This window comes from Homo sapiens, chromosome 10, assembly GCF_000001405.40.
Source record: "Homo sapiens chromosome 10, GRCh38.p14 Primary Assembly".
Taxonomy (NCBI): Eukaryota; Metazoa; Chordata; class Mammalia; order Primates; family Hominidae; genus Homo; species Homo sapiens.
The window spans coordinates 33,192,833-33,215,431 of record NC_000010.11 but is presented as its reverse complement, the minus strand read 5'-3'; the positions used below and the strand labels follow the sequence as shown (position 1 = coordinate 33,215,431).

The following is a 22,599-nucleotide window of genomic DNA, read 5'->3' as shown; positions in this document are numbered from 1 at the left end:
GGTCTATGATGCTGTTCATTGCCTTTGAAGATCTTATAATCTAGCTGTGGGTACATGACTAACAATCTTAAAGCCTTAGAGAGCAGTGGAATGCTGAGCTCTGTGCTACTTACATCATATTTCTGAGAAGGGAGAGCTCAGAATAAAAGCTAGAGTAGCTTGAAAAGTTCTCTTCATGAGTCTTAAGCTGGGTTTTGAGCAAAGGCAATGATGAGGATGACGTCTAGACTGTATGAGAAGAGAATTGCTTAACTGAGATGTATTGTCAGTAATAGAAAATCAAATTAGGCAAATGGGATGAAGTCAAAATGAGGGTCTTGAATGCCAGATCGAGTTTTGATATCTTCCTATCAATAATGGAAAACCATGGTACATTTTCAAAAGATATCTCTTTTCTATTGTCGGGGTAAAATATACATAACATAAAATTTACCGCTTTAACAATTTTCAACCACTTTTAACCATTTTAATTTTATCATTGTACATTTTTAAGTGTACAATTCTGTCGCATTAAGTACAGTCACATTGCTGTGCAAGCATCACCACTATTTCCAGAATTTTATAATTGTCTCAGACTGAAACTCTGCACCCATGAAACACTAACTCTCCCAATCTCCATTTCCCCCAAGCCCTGGCAACCACCATTTTGCTTTCTGTCTCTACGAATCTGACTGATCTAGTGATAGGCTACTCCTATCCATGGAATCAGACCATATTTGTCCTTTTTTTGTTGGGCTTCTTTCACTTAGCAGTGGAGATTTTTGAGGATGAGAATGACATGCTTAAAACAACATTTTCTGAAAATTTAAGTAGCAGTTGGTGTAGTGGAGATTCAAAGTGGGGTCTGGGAGGCCAACCAAGAGCTGATGTAGCACCCTGGCCAGAGCGCTCGGATCAGGATAAATCCAGAAGAAAGGAAGGTAGCAACAAGAGTTCTGTTGCTTTCTTGTACTTAATAAAAACAACAGGATTTGGCAGCAAAACGGAAATGACGAGATGACTAGGCAGGAAGTGGATGATTGGTGATGCCACCAATTAAAAGACAGGGTTCAGTGAAAAGATGCAGTATCCAGGGGAAAGGACTGTCTTAGTCTGCTTGTGGTACATTTGAGATGACAGTGAGACATTCATGTGGAAAGTCCCCAATGCAATTAGAAATAGGGGTGGGGAGAACAGTTGTGGGGGATCATGGTCACTATTCTCCCACACTCAATTCAAATGCCACCTCCCCTGGGAGGTCCTCTATTACCTCTGCAGGCTGAGTATGCATTCGTTCTCTTTACCTCTGCATCACTGTCTCTTTACCTTTGTTTTAGCAACCTTCCTGCTATCGGATTGACTTCTATGCATATCTCCAATCCATCATAAACTATGAACTTCTCTTAAGCAGGGCCAGTACTTGATCCAGGGATGAATTCTGGATACCAAAGAGACTGAAATATGAATGTTAAACTTAGAAGATGTCAAAGCGGGGGAAATGTATGTTCTTATTGAAGATTTGCCTTACTGGGATGTGAGTTTAGAGACGGGAATTCTGACAGAGCAGGAGGAAGGTTTGAGGGAGGAAAGATTTACTGTAAAATAATCCAGAGACTGAAAATTGTATATGATTGGGTACAAAATCATGTCTTTATTCCATATGTTGTATTTTATTTCTTAGCATGGAGTCGCCCAGGAAATCATTTTACATTATCTGTTTCATTTCACTTCCCAGATTATCCTTGCTCTGGAATGTTGGGTATGGTGTCTGGACTTATTTCTGACTCCCAGATCACATCATCCAACCAAGGGGACAGAAACTGGATGCCTGAAAACATCCGCCTGGTAACCAGTCGCTCTGGCTGGGCACTTCCACCCGCACCTCATTCCTACATCAATGAGTGGCTCCAAATAGACCTGGGGGAGGAGAAGATCGTGAGGGGCATCATCATTCAGGGTGGGAAGCACCGAGAGAACAAGGTGTTCATGAGGAAGTTCAAGATCGGGTACAGCAACAACGGCTCGGACTGGAAGATGATCATGGATGACAGCAAACGCAAGGCGAAGGTGAGGGCTGGGGACTGGGAGGAGGTCATCCCTTATGTCCTTGACTTCAATCAAGGGCCTCTGGCATTCTCCCGAGGAAGGGCTTCTTATTTCCTTCCAGCCATGACATTAGAGGAGGTGTGTGATGGGGTCAGTAAGACCCTTGATTCTAGGAAGACAGGAATATGGCATGAAAAGTGATGTCTGAGATAACATGCAAAAGAATTGCATTGCTGGTCCCATTCCCTGGCTGTAGGGATGGACAGACAGCTCAACATGCAGACAGGAGACGGGGAAGCCCAAGGCTGACAGCAGCCATCCAGCCAGCGCTCAGAACCCCTTGCAGATACCACTCAGTCGTTTGGGTCTGCCCTCCCCCCATCTCAAACCTACCCCTAGTTTAAGTGCTTTGTTTCTTTTATAAATTTTTATTGTGGGCCAGGCTCAGTGGCTCATGCCTGTAATCCCAGCACTTTGGGATGCCGAGTCGGGCGGATTGTCTGAGCTCAGGAGTTCGAGACCAGACTGGACAGCACGGTGAAACCCCATCTCTACTAAAATACAAAAAATTAACAGGGTGTGGCAGCGTGTGCCTGTAGTCCTAGCTATTCTGGAGGCTGAAGCAGGAGAATTGCTTAAACCCGGGAGGCAGAGGTTGCAGTGAGCTGAGATTGCACCACTGCTCTCTAGCCTGGGTGACAGAGTGAGATTCCGTCTCAAAAAAAAAAAATTAATTGTGATAAAATACATATAATATACAATTTCCCATCTTAACCTTTTTAGTGTGCAGTTCAACAGTGTTAAGTATGTGTATATTGTGCAACCAATCTCTAGAACTTTCTCATCTTGCAAAACTGAAACTCTACACCCATTAAGCAACAACTCCCAGTCCCCCTGCCCCCAGCCTCTGGTGACCACCTCCACTTTCTGTCTGTGTGAATTCAACCATTTTAGGGACCTCATACTGTATTTGTCTTTTTGTGATTGGCTTATGTCACTTAGGATAATGTTTTCAAGGGCCATCAGTGTTATAGCATTGTGTCAGAATTTCCATCCTTCGAAAGGCTGGATAATATTCATTGTGTGTTTATACCACACTTTGTTTATCCATTCAGCCACTGATGGACACTTGAATTGCTGTCACCTTTAGCTATTGTGAATAATGCTTAAGTATATTTCTTTATGCGTTGAAACCTTTTAAGATGCAGTAGGCTCTTGATAATCCAGTGAAAAGAAAAGGAAATCTCAACACAAAAACATTCCATTCCAACATCCACCAAAACCCGTGGTATAATTTTTTTCAACCAACAAATCAACCTCAGTCATTATGTTTTACTTAGAGTGATGGCTAAATTTATTTGCGAACATGCAACAGCAACTTGGAAAGGATACCCTGGAGTGTGCTGGGTGGCCCAGAAGCTGGTTTAGGATTCAAATATGGACCAACCTACAGACAACTAGCAGTTTAAGTTCTGTGTTCAGTGTGGGAATTATATTCAGCGATGGTATTTCTCACACCAATACAATTGGCCTTTTGGTCTTAGCCTTTCCATCCCTGCTTTGGCCAGGACCTACTCCTCTTGTGAAAAACAGATTTTAGCTTATTGAAGGGAATATTACCCTCACTCCCACTCTAAGCAAGTGTGGGAACATGGCTTAATATAGTGACTCAAGCCAGAGGCATTGCAGGCAGCAAAGAAGCCAGGCTGTGCTGCCAGCTCCCACTCCCTCCAGATGTGAAGGCTCCAAGGAAACCTCCGTGTCCCCGACAGGCCACCGGCTACCACTAGAGCAGCGGGCCACTGGCAGGGCTGGGTGCCATCAGAAATATCTGAATCTCTCTCCCATCTCTCCCTTCCTTAACTTGTGGTTTCTAAAATATTTTCAGTGTTATATTTATCTCTCTGTGCAGCTACCTTTTTTCTTGTGTCCCTTTCATTTTCCCCTTTTGTGCCTTGTTTGGGGGGAAGAAAAAGTAAAATAAACATCAGAAACTGGAGTTCCTTCTGAGTGGATCTGTTCTGAGAAGCAGTGAGCTCTGACTGCATCAGAAAGTGTGAATATGCTGCAAATCAACAACTTCCTGCTGCTGGCGACGGCGGCGTGTGCTGGTGTGACATGTTCTTCAACACTAGGGCTCTGAGAGAGAAAGAAAACAAGTCACCATATGCTTTTGATAGGATGCATCACATGCTTCCCCGTCTCTATATAATTCATGCGTCTGCAACCAGATCTAAAGCTATCACTCTTCTGTAGTAAATCCAGCACTGAATTCCATGAGAAGCCAATATACATCTTTCAACTTTCACAAAATACTCAATTCAAGATTGGATGAACGTGTTAGGGTTTATTTCTAAAATATGGTTCTATCCATCATTATCATCTTCCTATGATACTGAAAACTGTAAAAGCTTCTTCGTTGTTTACATACAGCCTAATCTATGATTCCTTAACACACCCTTCCACTGAAATAAAATCTCTAAGACGAAAAAAGAAATGGGTAAAAATCTTCCATTTTAGAGCGGCACATGGTTTTTAATCATATCAAGATTTTAAAAACATGCTATATTTAATTTTACAAGTGAAGGCTACCTCTTAAGATGCCAAGTACCTTTTATGTAAAAGTAAAATGAGCACTCTGTTTTGTGAAATCCACAGCACTTGGATGGATTTAAATTTTCAATGCCCTTTCCTCACTCTCTACCCCAAAAATAGTGGGTAATGGGCAAGCTATATCAGAATCTTTGAATTAACTAGACTTTTTAGCAACAGAGAGAAGGTCGAAACACTCAAAGTCCTCATCTTCTAAAACATAATTAGCAACAGAACACAAAGAATTCATAAGTAAGTTTATTATATCAGTTAGCCTAGTTCCATATGGGTTTTCATTGCTAATATTCTTCCCAGCTCTGCACTGACAGCTTTTATAATGTATTTACATTGTGTTAATTCTTTGCTCAAGTTAAAATGAAGAGATGAGCCTGGGATTCCATAGATATAAATGCTTTTCTCCTATGATCTTTGGAGGTATGTTAACATAGACAGAACTTGCATATGTAGTAATGGTATTTTCATTATAATTAGTATCCTACTGACAATAACTTAATTGGGCCTCACAATAATATGTGTCAGAGTCTCAATTACTGGCAGCAATTGCAGTTCTATAAAAGTGCAGAACCCCGATAGTGAATTTACTCTTGATAAAAAAAAAAAAAGAAATTTTAATTGGAAGAGGCAGGCCTATATTAGCAATGCATTTTTAAACTCCTAGAGGCTTTTCTGAGTTGGAAAAGGCCAATTAATTTACTTCTAGAACTCAGAAACCTGCTGATTCTGTTGCAACCTACCCAATCTGTCTTCACTGACATGCTTCCACTGTTTTGTTTTGACATTTCCACCACCGAACAAGCACATATTAGGCTGGTTTATGATGTCTTGACACAGCTACTGGGCATGGCTCCCACTCCTGACTGGCATGGCCTGGGGCCGGCCAGCCACTCCATCTGATCTACCAGGTCTACTAGCCCAATTTGCATCATATTAAAGACAAATTAATGAAACTAAATGTGTGGCCTTGGGCATAGATGTTTCTTGGACCGTGGTGTTTTCACCTATTAAAATCAGGAGACTGGGCTGTCTCGAAGGCTCACGCCTATAATCCCAGCACTTCAGGAGGCCAAGGCGGGCATATCACCTGAGGTCAGGAGTTTGAGACCAGCCTGGCCAACATGGTGAAACCCCGTTTCTACTGAAAATGCAAAAATCAGCCAGGCATGTTGGTGGGCACCTGCAGGCCCAGCTAGTCTGGAGGCTGAGGCAAGAGAATCGCTTGAACCTAGGAGGTGGAGGTTGCAGTGAGCTGAGATCGCACCACTGCACTCCAGCCTTGGTGACAGAGCAAGACTCCATCTCTAAAAAAATAAATAAATAAATGAGGAGACTGGACTAGATGGTTTGTAAGGGCAGAGGCAGCATCGTGGTGTGGTTAAGGGCGCCAGTTAAGGCCAGCTAGGTTTGAGTCTTGGCCCTGCCACTTGCTGTGTGTATGGCCATGGGGCAAGTGATTTGACTACTCTGTGCCTCAGTTTCCTTGTCTGTAAAAGGACCATAATACAGAATTTACCTCATGGAGAATTTACCTTCATTTGTAAAATTAAATGTAACATGTTTTTAAAATCTCTGAATAGTTAAAAAATATGTGGCCAGGCATGGGGGTTCACGCCTATAATCCCAGCACTTTGGGAGGCCAAGGCAGGCAGATCACTTGAGGTCAGGAGTTCAAGACCAGCCTGGCCAACGTGGTGAAACCCCATCTCTACTAAAAATACAAAAATTAGCCGGACATATTGGTGTGCACCTGCAATCCCAGCTACTCAGGAGGCTGAGACAGGAGAATCACTTGAGCCCAAGAGGCACAGGTTGCAGTGAGTCAAGATCATGCCACTGCACTCCAGCCTGGGTGACAGAGCAAGGCTCTGTCTCAAAAAAAAAAAAAAAAAAAAAAAAAGGCTGCTCTAAAATGGACCATTTTATCAGTTTTCTTTTTCACCTTAGAGATTTTTTTCAGTGGAAAGGTGTGTTAGGAATCATAGATTAGGTTCTATATAAACAATTGAGGAACTTTTATGGTTTTTCAATATCATAGGAAGATGACAAAATGAGTTGTTCTGAGGATTAAATGAGTTAATAGATTTTAAGCAGTTAGAACAATGCCTTACTCTATCAAACATCATGCAATGTTTGATATTTAAAAGGACATTCCTTATGATGAGACAATTTTCTTTTCCTCCTCCCCCTCCGCCTTCTCCCATTTGGAATGGGATTAAGAATGATGCTGGAGAAGAGGATATAAGGAGGCTCATCCATTTCTTGAAAAGGAAAACTGGCCTAGTCATTGCTCCATCTTCTCAGAATTCCACCAAGGATTTTGATCTTCCCGTGCATGTGAAAAGGAAACAAAGCCAGCAGCAGCACTGGCAGTGGGTGGCCAAGCTCCTGAAAACTGTCACAGGGACTTCAAGCTAGGAACACACTTCAAAAGAGGTGCCAACTCATGCCAGGTGCAGTGGCTCACACCTGTAATCCCAGCACTTGGAGAGGCCAATGCAGGAGGATCATTTGCAGCCAGGTGCTTGAGACCAGCCTGGGCAACATCATGAGACCCTGTCTCCACAAAAAATTAGCTCGGCGTGGTGGCGCATGCCTGTAATCCCAGCACTTTGGGAGGCAGAGGCAAGCAGATCACTTGAGACCCTAAGTTCGAGACAAGCCTGGGCAACATGGTGAAACCCCAACTCTGCAAAAAATACAAAAGTTAGCTAGGCATGGTGGCGGGTGCCTGTAGTCCAAGCTACTCAGGAGGCTGAGGTGGGAGGATCACTGAGCCCAGGGAGGGTAAGACTGAAGTGAGGTGCAATCACATCATTGCACTCCACCCTGGGCGACAGAGTGAGACCCCATCTCAAAAAATAATAATAATGAATAAATAAATAAATGCCATCTGTCACTTCTTAGAGAAGCTTTAATTGTTTTTTTCCTTTCTCGTTTATGAAAGAGATGTACCACAAAGTGGTAGAATGAAGCCAATTTCTCTGCCTTATTCAGAGTCCTGAAGGAGGGAAGAAACAGTTGCTAAAAGGGAGCTCTGTTTTTTTTTTTCCTTAATGCCCTGTGTTTTCCATGCTTCACAGTCTTTTGAGGGCAACAACAACTATGATACACCTGAGCTGCGGACTTTTCCAGCTCTCTCCACGCGATTCATCAGGATCTACCCCGAGAGAGCCACTCATGGCGGACTGGGGCTCAGAATGGAGCTGCTGGGCTGTGAAGTGGAAGGTAATTATGATCTCCAGAGTTACTTCTCATGCGTTTTTAAATTTCCTCTTCCATGCATTTATGCCCCTGATGGTGCCTTTGCAAATTGCCTACCCTTTTCCCTTGGGAGGCCCCTTATCTCGGTGCCTGCCCATCAGTGAGACTCAAAGCTCTGACACAGGTCACAAGGCAGCACCTTCACAGTCCTACTTTTGTCTTGGGTTGTTTGCATGACTCTCCTCGGATTATATGAGATTGTCTCTCTTTACTTAAAAAAAAAGATAATTTATAGAGTTGAAATTCATAGAACATAAATTTCACCTCTTGAAGGGGAACAACTCAGTGGCAGTTAGCACATTTACAATTCAGTTGTACCAACTACCCTCTTTCTAGTTCCAAAATATTTCCATCACTCCAAAGTAAAACCCCTTACCCAGAAAGCAGGCAACTTCCCTCAACCCCTGGCAACCACTTTTGCCTTTTAAATATTATTTAGAGGTCTGTGTCTGATCCAGTTTCGGTCCGCAGTGTCGATTATCAGCACATAGAAACAGAAAGCAGCGTTTGACAGACTAAGACATCAAGACATTATTCTGGATGAATATCTTAGGCTGCTGCAGAGAAACAGAACTTTACATGAGACAACGTGTCTGAAAGTAGACTGACATTACTGCCTACACTTAGATTATTATATGACGGTCATATCAAGTACAAATTCAGTCCACGCACTGACCCCATGGCTGCACTCTCTTTGAACATATGATGAATGAAATGAATGTTTTGAGTGGGTTATTGTACCGTTTAATATATTTATGCACTAGAATCCCCATCTGCCTTAGATTTGGGCATAACTGAGTAACCTACACCAGTTTTTCTATCCCCATAGAGGTCTTGCTCCAGCCTAGCTTCAAGAATGACTATTGTAGGCATCCAGATGTTAATCAACCGAGCATATATGCTCACAGTTGTTTTGAAGAATGCTTTTTAATGTCACCTTCCTGCAATTTTAAAATTATTTGTGTCTTGAGCTACCAAATATAATTACATTCCTGAGCACATTAAATACCATAAAACTTTTCTTATGAATGACAGAATCTTGAGCTATCAATCACCATACCCCTGAATAATTCATAGCTACTTTTCAATGTGTTTATTTAAAAGCAGGCCATTTTCTCCTATTCTTCACCGTGTGGTTGTTTCCATATCTGTAGTCATGTCCCAAACCCCTAAATTATCCAGGCACTATCAACACAGACCAAGAATGTCCATGTGCCAGGGCTTTGGCAAAGGATGCCAAGAAAAAGAAGAGATGGGCAGACTCCACTCACTGCAGATGCGTTCGTTCAATTCACGGAGAAATGTGGTCATCTGGAAAAGGAGTCTGCTCCCTGGATGCGAATCTGTAGCCTGGATTCTGGAAGGCGATGCTGATTTAGGAGGTGGAGTGAATGGAGAATTGAAAAGACAGCCTGGTGGCAGTTTTGAAAGCACGCTTGCAAAAATTGTAATGAGAACATGATGACAGTGAAAGAGATCTGACCTAACTGACTCCATCTTGCTTCTAACCTCCAAGCTGTCCTTGTTCATTCCTGGGCATAGGCCAAACTAACTTTAGGAGGAACTTATAGTTTAACTTTGAAACAAAGACAATGACAGCTCTTTCCCAAAACAAACCCCCTTCCTGCCTGGGGACTAGATTGCCTTCGCAAGACTAACAAATTAGCCACAAAATTGGAAATTATGGTTTAGGGGGAAAAAAATGAAATTATGGTTTAGGGGTCATGCAGCTGGAGGCTGCAAGACTCTGAACCTCCCCAAATTGCTTCTGGGAATAATGTCACTGTTGTAAAACCTGAGATCAGTGCTTCAGATATTTTCCAGACCCTGTACTTGATGGATCAGCTGGCACCACCCAGATCGATAAACTGGCTCATCCTGTCTTGTGTCCCTCACCAGAAACTGACTCAGCACAAGAGGACACCTTTGACTCCCTGTGATTTCACCTCAGACCTGACCAATGAGCACCTGCCCCTTTTCAACCCCTGCTCAACAAATTACCCTTCAAAACCTAAACCCCAAGTAATAATAGAACCCCCATCTCCCATACAGTTGTCTCTGCATGAATTAAACTCTTTCTCTATTGCAATTCCCCTGTCTTGATAAATCGGCCTTGTCTAGGCAGCAGGCAATGAGGACTCATTGGGAAGTTAGAGTTTCCACTCTCTAGTGTCATCTCTGTAGTGAGGTAGAAATGATCGGTGAAGGGATTTGCCTACAGATGTTTCCAAGCACTCACAAAAGTGAGGACATTGCCCTGGGCCGTATGTGAAACAAACATCTGGGGAAAGTAATGTCAAAGCTTTTTGATATGATTGGTGAAAAGGAATGCTTTTCTTCTCCCTTCAATCAGTTAACAGGCCCTTATTAAGTATCTACTGTGTGCCTTGTTCTAGGGGAGACACCTAAGGGAATGCAGGAGAAAGATGCAGTCCACTCCAGCCTCCCAGGAGTGTCTGTCCTATTTTGTGCTAGCACTTACATTTAAGAAATAAACAACCACAGGCCGGGTGTGGTGGCTCATGCCTGTAATCCCAGCACTTTGGGAGGCCAAGGCGGGCAGATCACTTGAGCTCAGGAGCTTGAGACCAGCCTGGCCAACATGGTGAAATCCTGTCTCTACTAAAAATACAAAAATTAGCTGGGTGTGTTGGTGGGCGCCTGTAATCCCAGCTACTCGTGAGGCTGAGGCAGGAGAATCTCTTGAATCAGGGAGGCGGAGGTTGCAGTGAGCTGAGATCATGCCATTGTACTCCAGCCTGGGTGACAAGAGTGAAACTCCATCTCAAAAAAAGAAAAAAGAAATAAAGAACCATAGAAGATAATATATTTTCAAATAGTAAAACTGGAACATACATATCATTTGCTTCCTCCTTTTTTTTTCCGTTGAATCTAGTGAATCTAGGGACTACCTCGGGCCATTTACAATGCGGAACTCCCCTTTAGAAACAGCTTGATGAATGCAGAAAAATCAGCAAAATGAATAGAGTTTTAAATACTTAAAGGTAGCACATTATCTGGAGCAAGGAGAGCTTAGGGAAGAAAGACAACTATCTGGCTTGCCAGAGGAGATACTACTGTTTCAGCAAGAGCAATAAATACAGGCCAGAATTCGGGTGTATGTGTTTTGTAAAAAAGTCTGGATTGCAGGCCTGAGTGGCATGTATGTTATTTGCACTTGGTGACTTCTTAGTTATTACTGGTGTGTATCTTTGGGCCGTTGAAGAAGTTGAAACTTGGCTCTGTTTCTCCATGTGCCGTAACTCTGCTTGGTGTTTCAGCACCATTCAGTGTCAAATTTTTACTAAGAAAGCAGCAGTTACTGACACATTCCTACTGGCGAGAAGAGAACAGGCCCCAGCCACCAACATCTTGTATGGTTCTCAGCCATCACGAGAACTATCCATTATCTCAAGTCTTGTAAAGTGAAACGTAATGCCAAAAACTGTAAAATATTAAACAGATTGCAAAAATGAGTAACAGGCTAAAAAAAATATCTGAACGAAATTTAAAGGACTTCAAAAGCAGTCTTTGTTGGGAGGCCGAGGCGGGTGGATCATGAGGTCAGGAGATCGAGACCATCCTGGCTAACAAGGTGAAACCCCGTCTCTACTAAAAATACAAAAAATTAGCCGGGCGCGGTGGCGGGCGCCTGTAGTCCCAGCTACTCGGGAGGCTGAGGCAGGAGAATGGCGTGAACCCGGGAAGCAGAGCTTGCAGTGAGCCGAGATTGCGCCACTGCAGTCCGCAGTCCGGCCTGGGCGACAGAGCGAGACTCCGTCTCAAAAAAAAAAAAAAAAAAAAAAAAAAAAAGCAGTCTTTGATTAATATTGGATACCTTTCAACTGCAAATTCAAAGATATGGGAATACCTGTGAACAGTGGAATGCAGTCCTATGAGAGTTCATGTAAAATGACCCCGGGACATCTGAGACAACTTCTCTCACACACCTGCCCTGGAGAGAGGGCTCACAGTTTGAGAAGCTACTTACAGAGAAATGGAATCACTGTTTTTTTAGTTTTTTTGTTTTTTTTTAAAAAAACACTATTGCACTAAATGTGAACGTTGACTCCCTTTGGGGAAGAATTATAATATAAACTTAGCAAACATAGTCAATACTAAGAATATAAAAGAATTTATGACAAGTGAGTGCTCTAACACCTTGAAAATGAAAGGGAAAACGTTTCAAGCAAAATCTCTGTCTTCAAAGTTCTCAACTCCAGGGTCCTGAATAAATAACCAGTGAGAATTCAAGAGCTTTTCAGAAGAAGGATGTTTATGTAGATAACAATGTATAAAATGCTAAGGCAGACAACTCTACTCGGCAGATACGAATCAAATACCAAAACAAAGCAGCCTCTGCTATTATATATTCTGCAGAATCCAAGTATATCTAGCTCCTGAAAGAGAGGCAAACCATGCCCCTGGTCTTCTTACCGCAGATTAAAGTTTTCTGCATAAGCGTTAGCAGATCCAACAGCCAGAGGCTTGAGAATACATTTCCAAGGTGTGAGATAATAATCCTTGGATCTTGTTTCAGCCCCTACAGCTGGACCGACCACTCCCAACGGGAACTTGGTGGATGAATGTGATGACGACCAGGCCAACTGCCACAGTGGAACAGGTGATGACTTCCAGCTCACAGGTGCAGAAACCATCTTCATCCCATTGCTGTACCATTTCAGTTCATGTCTTAGTTGGGACCAGCTAACGCCTGTGTGTGTGCTTGTAACTCCGCATGGCAGAGAGCTGCCCAGGAATAGAAGCTGCCTTGCCAGAACACGTGCATCTTCATTTCCTCATGTCATCTGGATAGATGAGTTGTTCTTAATAGCCACAACCATTTGTAACAATAATTTGAGCCATTTCGAGAGCCAAAGGCTAGGATTATCTTAATTGAATAAGAATTTCCCCATGGCTAAATGTACTAAACCGATCCTTATTTTCATTATTTTCAGACCCCCCCCCAATAACACGTGCACCACCCCTACGTAACCACACACTTCAGAATGTTTATTTTCATTTTCTAATGAGGACAAGTTTTTTTGAGTGGATCCTTTATCCAACAAATGGATAAAGTTAGGCTTATATTTGAAGTGCGGCTTTTAAGTTGGGATTTGGTAAATCATTGTACATTAACATTTACAAAGGCAGAATTAGCTGCTATTTCACATCACCACCGACCAGCAAATGCATCAGAGATGTTGTGTGCCAAATGTCTCACTAATTAATCTAGAGTATTACTCTCTAATCTCCTAAAACCCTAAAAGCTAGGAAATGACCTTCTCTTCCACTTGGAATGGCAGAGGAAATATTAGGCAAGTGGAGAAATGGGATTATACCATTTGGAAATTGGCCAAGGCACTAGGGTTTTCACCCTGTGGTTGCAAAAGGTATCGTGGGACTTTTACTGCTCCCTGGGTCAAAACGCAGTTTCAATAGCATCTGACTCTCATTTGAGATTAAACATGAGCTTTTGAATGCAGGTCTGCATTTTTACCCAGAAGGGACTCGGAGAGCCCACATAATTAATTTCCATGGGCAAAACTGAAGGCGTTACCATGTAACTTCATAATAAAGCCATGTTATTGGCTAATGCATTCGTACAAAATCTGGAAGGAAGTGTCCTAGAGTACATTTCCAATTATTTCAAAAGCTCTCCTCTGAAGGAGTGAGAGGGCTCTGCACTCTAAGATGGAATAAAGAGTAAAAGAAAGAAAAAAAAATTGAAAATCTGTCCCAGAAATTTAGTACTGTGAACTGAGTTTACATTTAAATCCCACCTCCTAAAGCTGTCTCTCTCCAAATTTCCAGGATAATCATTTACATTCATATGGCCAATAAATGTCACATTGCTATGAGCTTTTGAATGCAAATCTTGTATACAAGCAGCCACAAGCCACAAAACTTAGATTAATTAATGCAGAGACATTTTCTGTGTAACATGTCAAGTTCAAGTTGAAAACTCAACCACTGATATAAAAAACAGAGTACTATTCCATGAACCAAGTCCTCTGGAAGCTTCCCGGGGTTGCCTGTAAACACTCTGCCACAAACCTCAGGCTTTTTACAGACCCCGTCACACATCCATAGTGAAATTTCTCATAAAAAAGGAATGATTGCAGGATCCCAGTGTGCCCTTTCAATTGCCCTCTTGTGGAAGGGGTTCTTTTCTTCATAAACCCTAAAGTGGTCAGTTAATATTGATTAGAAACAAAGCCTCAGATTTACTCCTCATATCAGAACAACCAGCCTTCTCATTTTTGCATTAGTTCATGACTGAATCAATTGAAACTGAAGGCTTTGAATGAAATAGGGCGAGTATGTTAGCCTGGAGCAAATTGTGTATGGCAGCGAGTTACAAACCACAGAAAATGGGTCATTTATAGTGGAAACACTGACAACCTTTCAAAACTATAAGGTTTTGCTTTACCTACAGTGTTTCAATTATTTCTTTGGTAGATAGAAGAAAGTTCATTCTGATTTTTTCTTTTTACATATTAGCATGGTGAAAAAAAGAGTTATTCCCAGATCAGCACGTTTGTCTCAATAATTCTATAAATACTCTCATATACTAAGAACCGCTGAGGATGTTGATAAGGCCTGCCCCACACCTCCATCAAGAAGAAGCCATTTTGGAAGACATTCTCCTGCTTCATATTCATTATTGCAAGAAGGCAGTCTTTTTCTTTTTAAAACATATTTTACTTTACAAAACCATTTGCTATTCTTTTCTGAAAATGGATGTGCTCACATGCCATTGTTTGCAAGAGGCAAAAACCTCACCTAACCCAGACACCTTTTTATATGGAAACTACACATCTCCTATGCTCACAAGCAATTTTGCATCCTTTTTGCTAATTCTGGCATAGGTTTTGCTGTCAGGACTACAAACGTGGATGTTTAGTGTGATGAAACCAAACCAAGAGCGTTATTGCTTTAACCCTAATAGGTAGAACATGGAAATTGGGATCAATGCTGTCTTTAGGGGTTGTCTGTTCCTTAGCACAGGTGGTGTGGATTTAATTTCTTCTCCTGGGGTGACCTACTTGTATCTAGAGGGGAGAAATATTGTAATGAAATGCTCGTTACTTACAAACCACACCAAATTCCAGGTGTACTGTACCAAATGCATGGAAATGAGTAGAATGTGCTCTCCCAGACCTGCTAGCCAAGGTGAAAATGCTTCCCTGAAATTACTCATTTGCAAATGCCTTTGAAGTCATTAGATAATACACTTGGCCTCAAAGGCACCAGGCAGCCAAATTTTACGTTGGAGCTGTGTGTACCCAACCGTGGAATTTGCCTCCCAAACTATAGCAAAACTGATAATGCATATCGGTTTTAAAAAGCGAATTTTCACCTTGAATCTTTCTCCTATAAGACCACTGGGAACAGAACGCTAATGTATCCTGGCCTCCCTCCAATTCTGCCATTATAGATTCACCTTCTTAACCCATAATACATATAATTCCTTCTTCCTAGTGCCTGCCTTATTGAGGCCATGCACACATGTGACCACTCATCCAGCATATTTGCTGGGAGAACTGAGGTACCATGACTTGGTGCTGCAGTTGATTAGCCTAGAAATCTTAAGACCATTCCAAGAGCACGATTTTATGGCCCTCTGATTCATGCTATGGATATGTAACATGATTTCTGATCTGTGGGAGCTGCCAGATAGGCCTGTCCCAAATAAAGATCGTCACAAATCTTTACTGAATGATATTATTGGGAAGTGCACAATTATGGCACCCTGTAACCACCTCCAGAACTTTCCATGGTAGGCATGGGCCCACCCCATTCCCTTACCCTGAATTGGTTCAATACTGTATCTGGACATAACAGGTTACTTCCAACCATAATCTGCATCGTGGATAGACATAAGGAAAAACAGCTTTCTCAACCACCTACGTAATAACAGCAAACCACTGTTTCCCAAACTCAGTGGGTTAAAAGACTCACCTGAAAAGCTTTCAAAAATACAGATTTTGGCTGGGCATGGTGGCTCACACCTGTAACACCAGCACTTTGGGAGGCCAAAGCGAGAAGATCACTTGAGGTCAGAAGTTTGAGACCAGCCTGGGCCAGACAGTGAGATCCCTGTCTCCGCCAAAAAAAAAAAAAAAAAAAAAAAAAAAAAAAATATATATATATATATATATATAGAAAACAGCCAGGCATGGTGGCGCACACCTGTAGTCCTGGCTACTCAGGAGGCTGAAGTGGAAGGATCCCTTGAGCCCAGAAGTTTGAGGCCACAGTGAGCCATGATGGCGCCACTGCACTCCAGCCTGGGTGACAGCAAGACTCTGTCTCAAAAAAATACAGATTTCAAAGCCTCACACCTAGAGACTCCAATTCTCATTTAGGTCTGGAGAGGACAGGTGGATGGGAGACTGCAATTTCAACAAGCATTCTGGTGATTCTTATGGTTGGGCAAGTTTAAGAACACTACTTTAAAACAGAAGTATAATGATGAACAGTGGGAAATGGGTGAGTAAAGAGGTGGAAGAGAGGGTAAAGCTAAGTCTTAATAGATAAGGTTACAGCCTGTCCCCTGACCAGTGAGATGCAGTAGGCCTGCACTAATTGGAAGTTCACAGCACTCAGGGTGTTATTTGTTCAGTCTTCCAATTCCTTGGGACTATGAAATATTTCTCCTGTTCCCCTTTTCCTGCTGCTTCCTGCAGCTTCTCCAAACCACATACAGGGCAGGGTATTTGTCCTTGAGAAAAGTAAACAGCTCCAGTAGCCAAACAGAGGAGGAACCATAGCATCTTACTTTAAACCCTCAGTTTTCTAGTTTTTAAAATAGATTGTGGGGACTAGCCTTGCAACTTCCCTAAAGGCACACACCTGAAACCTTGGAAAACGATTTGAAGCTTAGAGGTTGAGGTCAAGTTTAATACCCAAGTCACCGAGAAGGTGGCTTTGCTTTTTCAGAGGCCTTTGCTTTTCACTGTTGCAATTGTGTGCCATGCGTCGTCTGGGAATCAGTGAGTGCCCGTGGAGTGAAGTCCCAATTTCTGGGTGCCTTCTGGATGCTTTGTAAAGAAAGGTGTTAGGATACGTTGTCTACTTGAAAATTGCAGGCTGGGCACAGTGGCTCATACCTGTAATCCTAGCACTTTGGGAGGCTGAGGTGGATGGATCACTTGGGGTCAGGAGTTTGAGACCAGCCTGGCCAATATGGTGAAACCCTGTCTCTACTAAAAATACAAAAATTACCTGGGCATGGTAGTGCACGCCTGTAATCCCAGCTACTCGGGAGTCTGAGGCAGGAGAATCGCTTGAACCTGGGAGGCGGAGGTTGTAGTGAGCCGAGATTGTGCCACTGCATTCCAGCCTGGGCAACAGAGTGAGACTCCATCTCAAAAAAAAAAAAAAATTTAAAAATTTAAAAAAAAGAAAATTGCTAAGAGATTAGATTTTAAGTGTTCTCACCAAAAAAAAAAAAAAGCCTAAAATAGGTTTATGAAGTAATGCATATGTGAATTAGCTTGATTTAGCCATTCCACTAAGTGTACCAAAACATCACGTTGTATGCCATAAATATATACAACTTCCATTTGTTAATTTAGACAATTATTTTATTTATAAATTTTTAAAAGAAATGCGTTAGGTAAAAAAAAAAAATAATGGTTTATTTGAATTTGATATTGTGGTGAGCAAAATTGAAGGGAAACAATTGCTATCATTGAAATTAAAAGGATTTTTCTATGGAAAATATTTGCCTCTGATAGACATTTGTAAGCATACATTTTTCTCCTGCATATTCGCTACTGTTTTCTTATTTTTGCATGTTCCTGTTTTTGTTTTTCAGGTGGCACCACTGTGCTGGCCACAGAAAAGCCCACGGTCATAGACAGCACCATACAATCAGGTATCAAATAAAATACGAAATGTGACAGATTCCATGTACCTCTCTTCTCTCCGCGGCTGCGCTCCTCGCTTTCAGTTTCTCTGAAAGTCCTAGAAGGAGAGATGCCACACAGCATCTGGTCTCCAAGCATGAGCCATAAATATTGCTTTCCTTTCATCCACATGTATATGCAGCAGGGAGTGAGATTTCCTTCTCCATCAGTAATTGCCAAATGGTGACAATCCCAGCTCTCCACTGAAGGAACGGAGTAACATACTTTGTTTAAACGCAGCACATCTAGGACATGGATTGTGTTTGCAAACTACAGGAGAAGGAAATCTCACAGGCAGCACAGCCCGACTATTTATTTTCATCCCAATCCTGCAAAACCCAGGCAGGCAAAGTTTGTCAGTTTTGCCTGCCATGGAGTTGGCAGTTTTACAACAGTGTTTCCAGTGGGCGTGCCACAAAACGGGGTTCAGGAAACCAGAGTTTATAATTGTGCACAGAGAGAAGCACACCCTTGGGAACAGCACCTCCTCATCCTTTTATTAATAGAAAAGCGTAACGACTTTTAAAGCCCTCGGTTTGCTGTCGATCAGGGGCCAGTCACGGTTAAACGGTGGCCTTCCTCTCACTGGCCTTTGTGTTTTGTTAGTATCCTGTGAAATTCTTCCCGGCAGACGTACATGAAGGGAAACAGTCAGTATAAGCAATCAGAGGTTTTAAATACTTTAAAGTTAATCATTAGACTAAGGTGAACAGGTCAGTTTTCCAGCTTTCTCCCATTTCCTCTATTGAAGCTCACTCAGTCTTGGCTTCTGCAGTCATTTATTAATGGGGCGTGTGGTGTATATCAATGTTTCCTCTATGGTATGACACTACCCAGCTAGGCAGAAAGTAGAAAGGGCCGCCCTAATTAGTATGCTTCCTTAAAGGACGCTGTCACTGTTGACCTGATTAAACTGCAAAACAAACTTCTCTTTGGTCAAACTTAACCCCCAGCTGCCCTGTAGCATGTTCAGGTTGACAAAATTCCTGCTACCACACAGCCCAGACACCCTCTACAAAACCAAGAGATGAAACAGAAGAGTCACTGCCTAAATTCAGAAAATGGTGTCGTCCTACACACATCTTAAGTTGTAAAATGTGGCTTTCAAAGACTGCGCAGGCACCTCCCATAGCTGAAGGTATCTCATGAAAAAAGCCGTGCCTTTCCTTTTCTTTGTACCTTTCCTGAAAGTTCTCAGCCCTCAGGAAGATTTTCTGTGGATGAAGGGTAGTGACCACCAGTTGGTTCTCTATGTCCTTTCTGGGATAGGGAAGAGGGGTGAGGTGAACAAATGAAGTTCTGATCATATAACAAACATTTTAGCTGTTGTTGCAGTTTCTTCTCTTACCAGAGAGGTAATTAAAGCCACTATGAAGTCGCCAGCTAATTTGTTTCATCTCATCTCTCTTCTCCTTGACTATGAAAGGGGGTAGGGATCGTTAAAAAAAATAAAAGTGAACAACAGCTGTGTAGAAAATGGAAAGTTCTATCAGATTCCAAATCTAGGTAATCTTCCCTGAATGTTGAAGGTCAATATTGTCAGAGCAGGAGCGGTTTTGTTAACACATTTGATTTGTGCACAATCTCAAGGTCACTCAAGGGATGGCTTCTCAGAGGGGCCAGTCGGTCCTGTCACAGAGTCTACTGTGGTCAGAGGGCAGGTATGCAAATTGCAAACAGTAGGACCCGTTGCTATCACCATCTGAACAAGTTCAATCCAAACCACGCGGGTCTACTGATCAGGGGTGGTCAGGTCCGGTTTGCATTTCACAGTCAGTGCAGAGTTCTTTTCAAATTGACTTGCTTTCCTGTTTCTCCATTGTCTGAGTCATGAATCTGGACTCCAAGTGCTCTGTTTGTGGGTAATGGGCTGTCTGACCTTCCTGGAAGGACTTCTGTTGATTGTCACCTTCTGGCTAAGTCAATGCCCAGAATATTGCATGGGGACTTGAGCATGCTTCAAGCCAGGGGTCAGGTCTAACTCTGAAGAGTTGACCCAGTGGCCTGAGTCACCTGATACTTTGATCCACACTGTTCTGCAGGCTCCAGATTCTTCAAGCATCATCACAAGCAGCAGTCAATGAGACCTCAAAACCTTCATCATAATTCCATTTTGCTATTATAGACTCAACTCAGAGTCTTACTATTTCATCTTGCTGATTCTCATCAATATAATAAACTCCATGGGCATATAATATTTATATACTTTTATGTAATCAGATGCATAAAAGCTGGTTAATGCTCTGCCAGCAAGTGATGGGATCCTTACATTTTTAATCTAGCTCTCTCTGGCGAGAGCTCTAACCCTCTGAGGCTCCTCCAGCATTCCTGCAGCAGTTCGGAGTATATTCATCACCTACGATTGTATGGGCCTGAGCACCTCTGCTTGTTTAGACTGAAAGACTAGTCTATGAACAAGTGAGTTAAACTGCTCTATAGAAGTTTGGAATACCAGATATAAAAATTAAATCCTTATGCATACATATGGTGCTAATGATCCAACTTCAGGCAAGATGGGTTGGGCAAGCACAGCTGGTACTTGCTCTCAGAGGCTGTAAATTTGTTTTAAGTTCAGAATATTGTTTCCTGCTATTTTTAAGAGTCAAGAAGGGATTTAGCTGGATTACCCCCATTGAATTTAATGAGAGTTGTGTGCCCCGCCAGGGCTTGGGTAATATTTTGAAAACGTAAACGTCAGTAGTCCTATATGTTTGTTTCATTCATTAATTTGCTTTTTTCTCTCCTTTTCTCTCTCCCTTTCTCCTTTCCTCTGTCCTTCTCTCTTTCTTTTCCCTTTCTATAAATGTTTATGGGTGGTTTGTGTGTTTGTCTTTCTAGCCAGGCTGGAAGTTTCCACATTGAACCTCTCACTCCATAACCCTCCCCAACAAAAGGCATTGATCTAAAAACATATCCTTTAAATAACCAAATTGCCACAAGTTACATGATCAAGACAAGAAGATAAAAGAGCAGTAAAATACAAAAACTTAGAGCGGTTCACCTGGTTAAATGTACAGGATGGGGAAGGACATTGGAAGGTAAAGGCAGACTGTCATTCTCTGAAGCGAGAAGTGCCTGAAACATTTTTTCAGGCAAAGCGGTTCCATGTCCTGGTCATTTCAAAAATATCCAAGTTCCTACATTTTATGGTATCATCAGAATATGAAGAGCCAAAAGAATGGATGATGTCATTTTCTGTTCTATAAACAATAAATGTAATGTATTAACAAAGTAAATACAGGCAGAACTGTGTGTGCTGGGGTGGCTTTCTTTATCCTGAATGTGCATGTTTTATAAAGTACATTTAAGGAGAAAAATCAAAACCACACACACATTAACATGTTCCAATATTAACATTTTCTAACATGAGATTATGCAACAGTACATTTCAGGGTCATGGGCGTTGGCATCCAAGGTTGCTCAATCATTCAGTCACCGTTCAGTTGACTGTACTTCATCTACATAATTCAATCTTGCTGCGGAAAAGAGTGGTAAATTTTGGAGAGGGTTTCCCATGCCTTAAGAAGTCCTATTTCATGGCTATGATAGACTAGACATGAAATATATCTCTCCGATGACACTACAGCTGTGAAATATAGCCTGTTTGCACTAAATGAAAGTACTCACATTTTACACATCACATAGCTTACTAGTTTACTTTCCCAAACTGGCTCTGTCTACCCTTTGGGAGGTCACATTATCATTGGGAGAATCCAAACTGCTCCATTTGGACAGTTTTTATGGTGGATTCCTTCCAAAATTTGACATTAGCTCTAGAAAAGGGTTCCTTATAAACTAAAAATGCAAAGTAAATCATTCTTATCTATTCAATAAATCTTCCCATTAAAATTCCTCCTGCCATTGGGGGAGGGGCCATGGAGACAAGGCTCAGAGCAGAAGGCGAGATACTTTGTTAATAAACACAAGCAAGTTAAAGAAGCTCAAAATGAGATAAGGTCTTGGCCTGACCCTAATACAGCATCTAATACCAGACTTCCCTTATTGTTCATAGGGATTCTTTTGAGGCTTATTTTTAAGTTCAACGGTCCAGATGCCCCAGGCGCCTTCCTGTTTGTTTCAATGCTGCCACCTCGTGGACTGCCTAAAGTCAGTGACAAGCCTAAAGGCCCTTCGTCACTGGAGAAAACAGCTGCATCTGCGGGCTTCGTTCTTTATAGGAGGACGAAAGGAGGGGGCAGAAGCCCGAGAATTTCATCTTTAGAATTTTTTTTATTGTTAGCTTATGTTTACCAAAACAACAGTCATACTTGGAATAAGTAGCAATGATTTCATTTTTCCCATACTTAAAAGTTAAGCTCCTTTCAAAAAGAGGCTGTGTAAAATGTCAGGCTGTGGGTTTTAAAAACACCATAGTCCAACAGCACCTTGTAGGGCACACACAAGGCAAGTCATTCCCGTGAATTCATTCACGCTGTCTTTTCAGATTCCTAAGGAAGCCTTTTGAACATTAAAAAAAAGAAAAGAGAAGTAAAAACGGGTAGCTATTGAAATGGGCTTTGGATTTAGATGACCTTACATTGAGGTTTTAAGCCGGGTGAACAATTTATATGTAAATTTAGAAATTAAAAAAGCAGAAATTTATACTTAAATTAATCGACCTTATAGAAGGCATGGAAGAAAAAAAAATAATCCTAAAATGCTTAAGAGATTCTAACCCTGACATTAAAGACCTGAAGCATGAACTGGTGAGGTGGAAATAGAGAAAACCTCCTGGGTGAGGCATTTCGCCAAGTTACTTTCCACTTTTGAGGCTTCATGGGTCAAT

The 22,599-nt window shown here is 41.9% G+C and overlaps 1 protein-coding gene and 1 long non-coding RNA gene across 19 annotated transcripts in view; one reads left to right on the top strand and one right to left on the bottom strand.

Moving 5' to 3' along the window:
* NRP1 (neuropilin 1) overlaps nucleotides 1-22,599 on the top strand; it is a 157,175-nt gene that overhangs the window by 119,236 nt on the left and 15,340 nt on the right. For 5 of the 18 annotated variants that reach the window (NR_045259.2, XM_017016865.3, NM_001244973.2 and 2 more), the window contains 4 exons: nucleotides 1,715-2,046; nucleotides 7,716-7,860; nucleotides 12,437-12,520; nucleotides 17,723-17,782. Coding sequence is in view for 17 of the 18 variants with exons in the window: in XM_017016865.3 (XP_016872354.1) it covers nucleotides 1,715-2,046; nucleotides 7,716-7,860; nucleotides 12,437-12,520; nucleotides 17,723-17,782 (621 nt within the window). In the remaining variant the exon portion in view is untranslated. Of the gene's footprint in view, nucleotides 1-1,714; nucleotides 2,047-7,715; nucleotides 7,861-12,436; nucleotides 12,542-17,722; nucleotides 17,812-20,651; nucleotides 21,050-22,599 lie in introns of those variants that run through there. The other 13 variants (NM_001330068.2, NM_003873.7, XM_006717522.3 and 10 more) reach the window with 7 other exon arrangements.
* LOC124902407 (uncharacterized) lies at nucleotides 1,611-6,526 on the bottom strand. Its single transcript, XR_007062107.1, has 2 exons — nucleotides 3,942-6,526; nucleotides 1,611-2,194 (listed from the first exon to the last, which is right to left on the bottom strand). It is a non-coding gene; the product is annotated as an uncharacterized LOC124902407 (long non-coding RNA).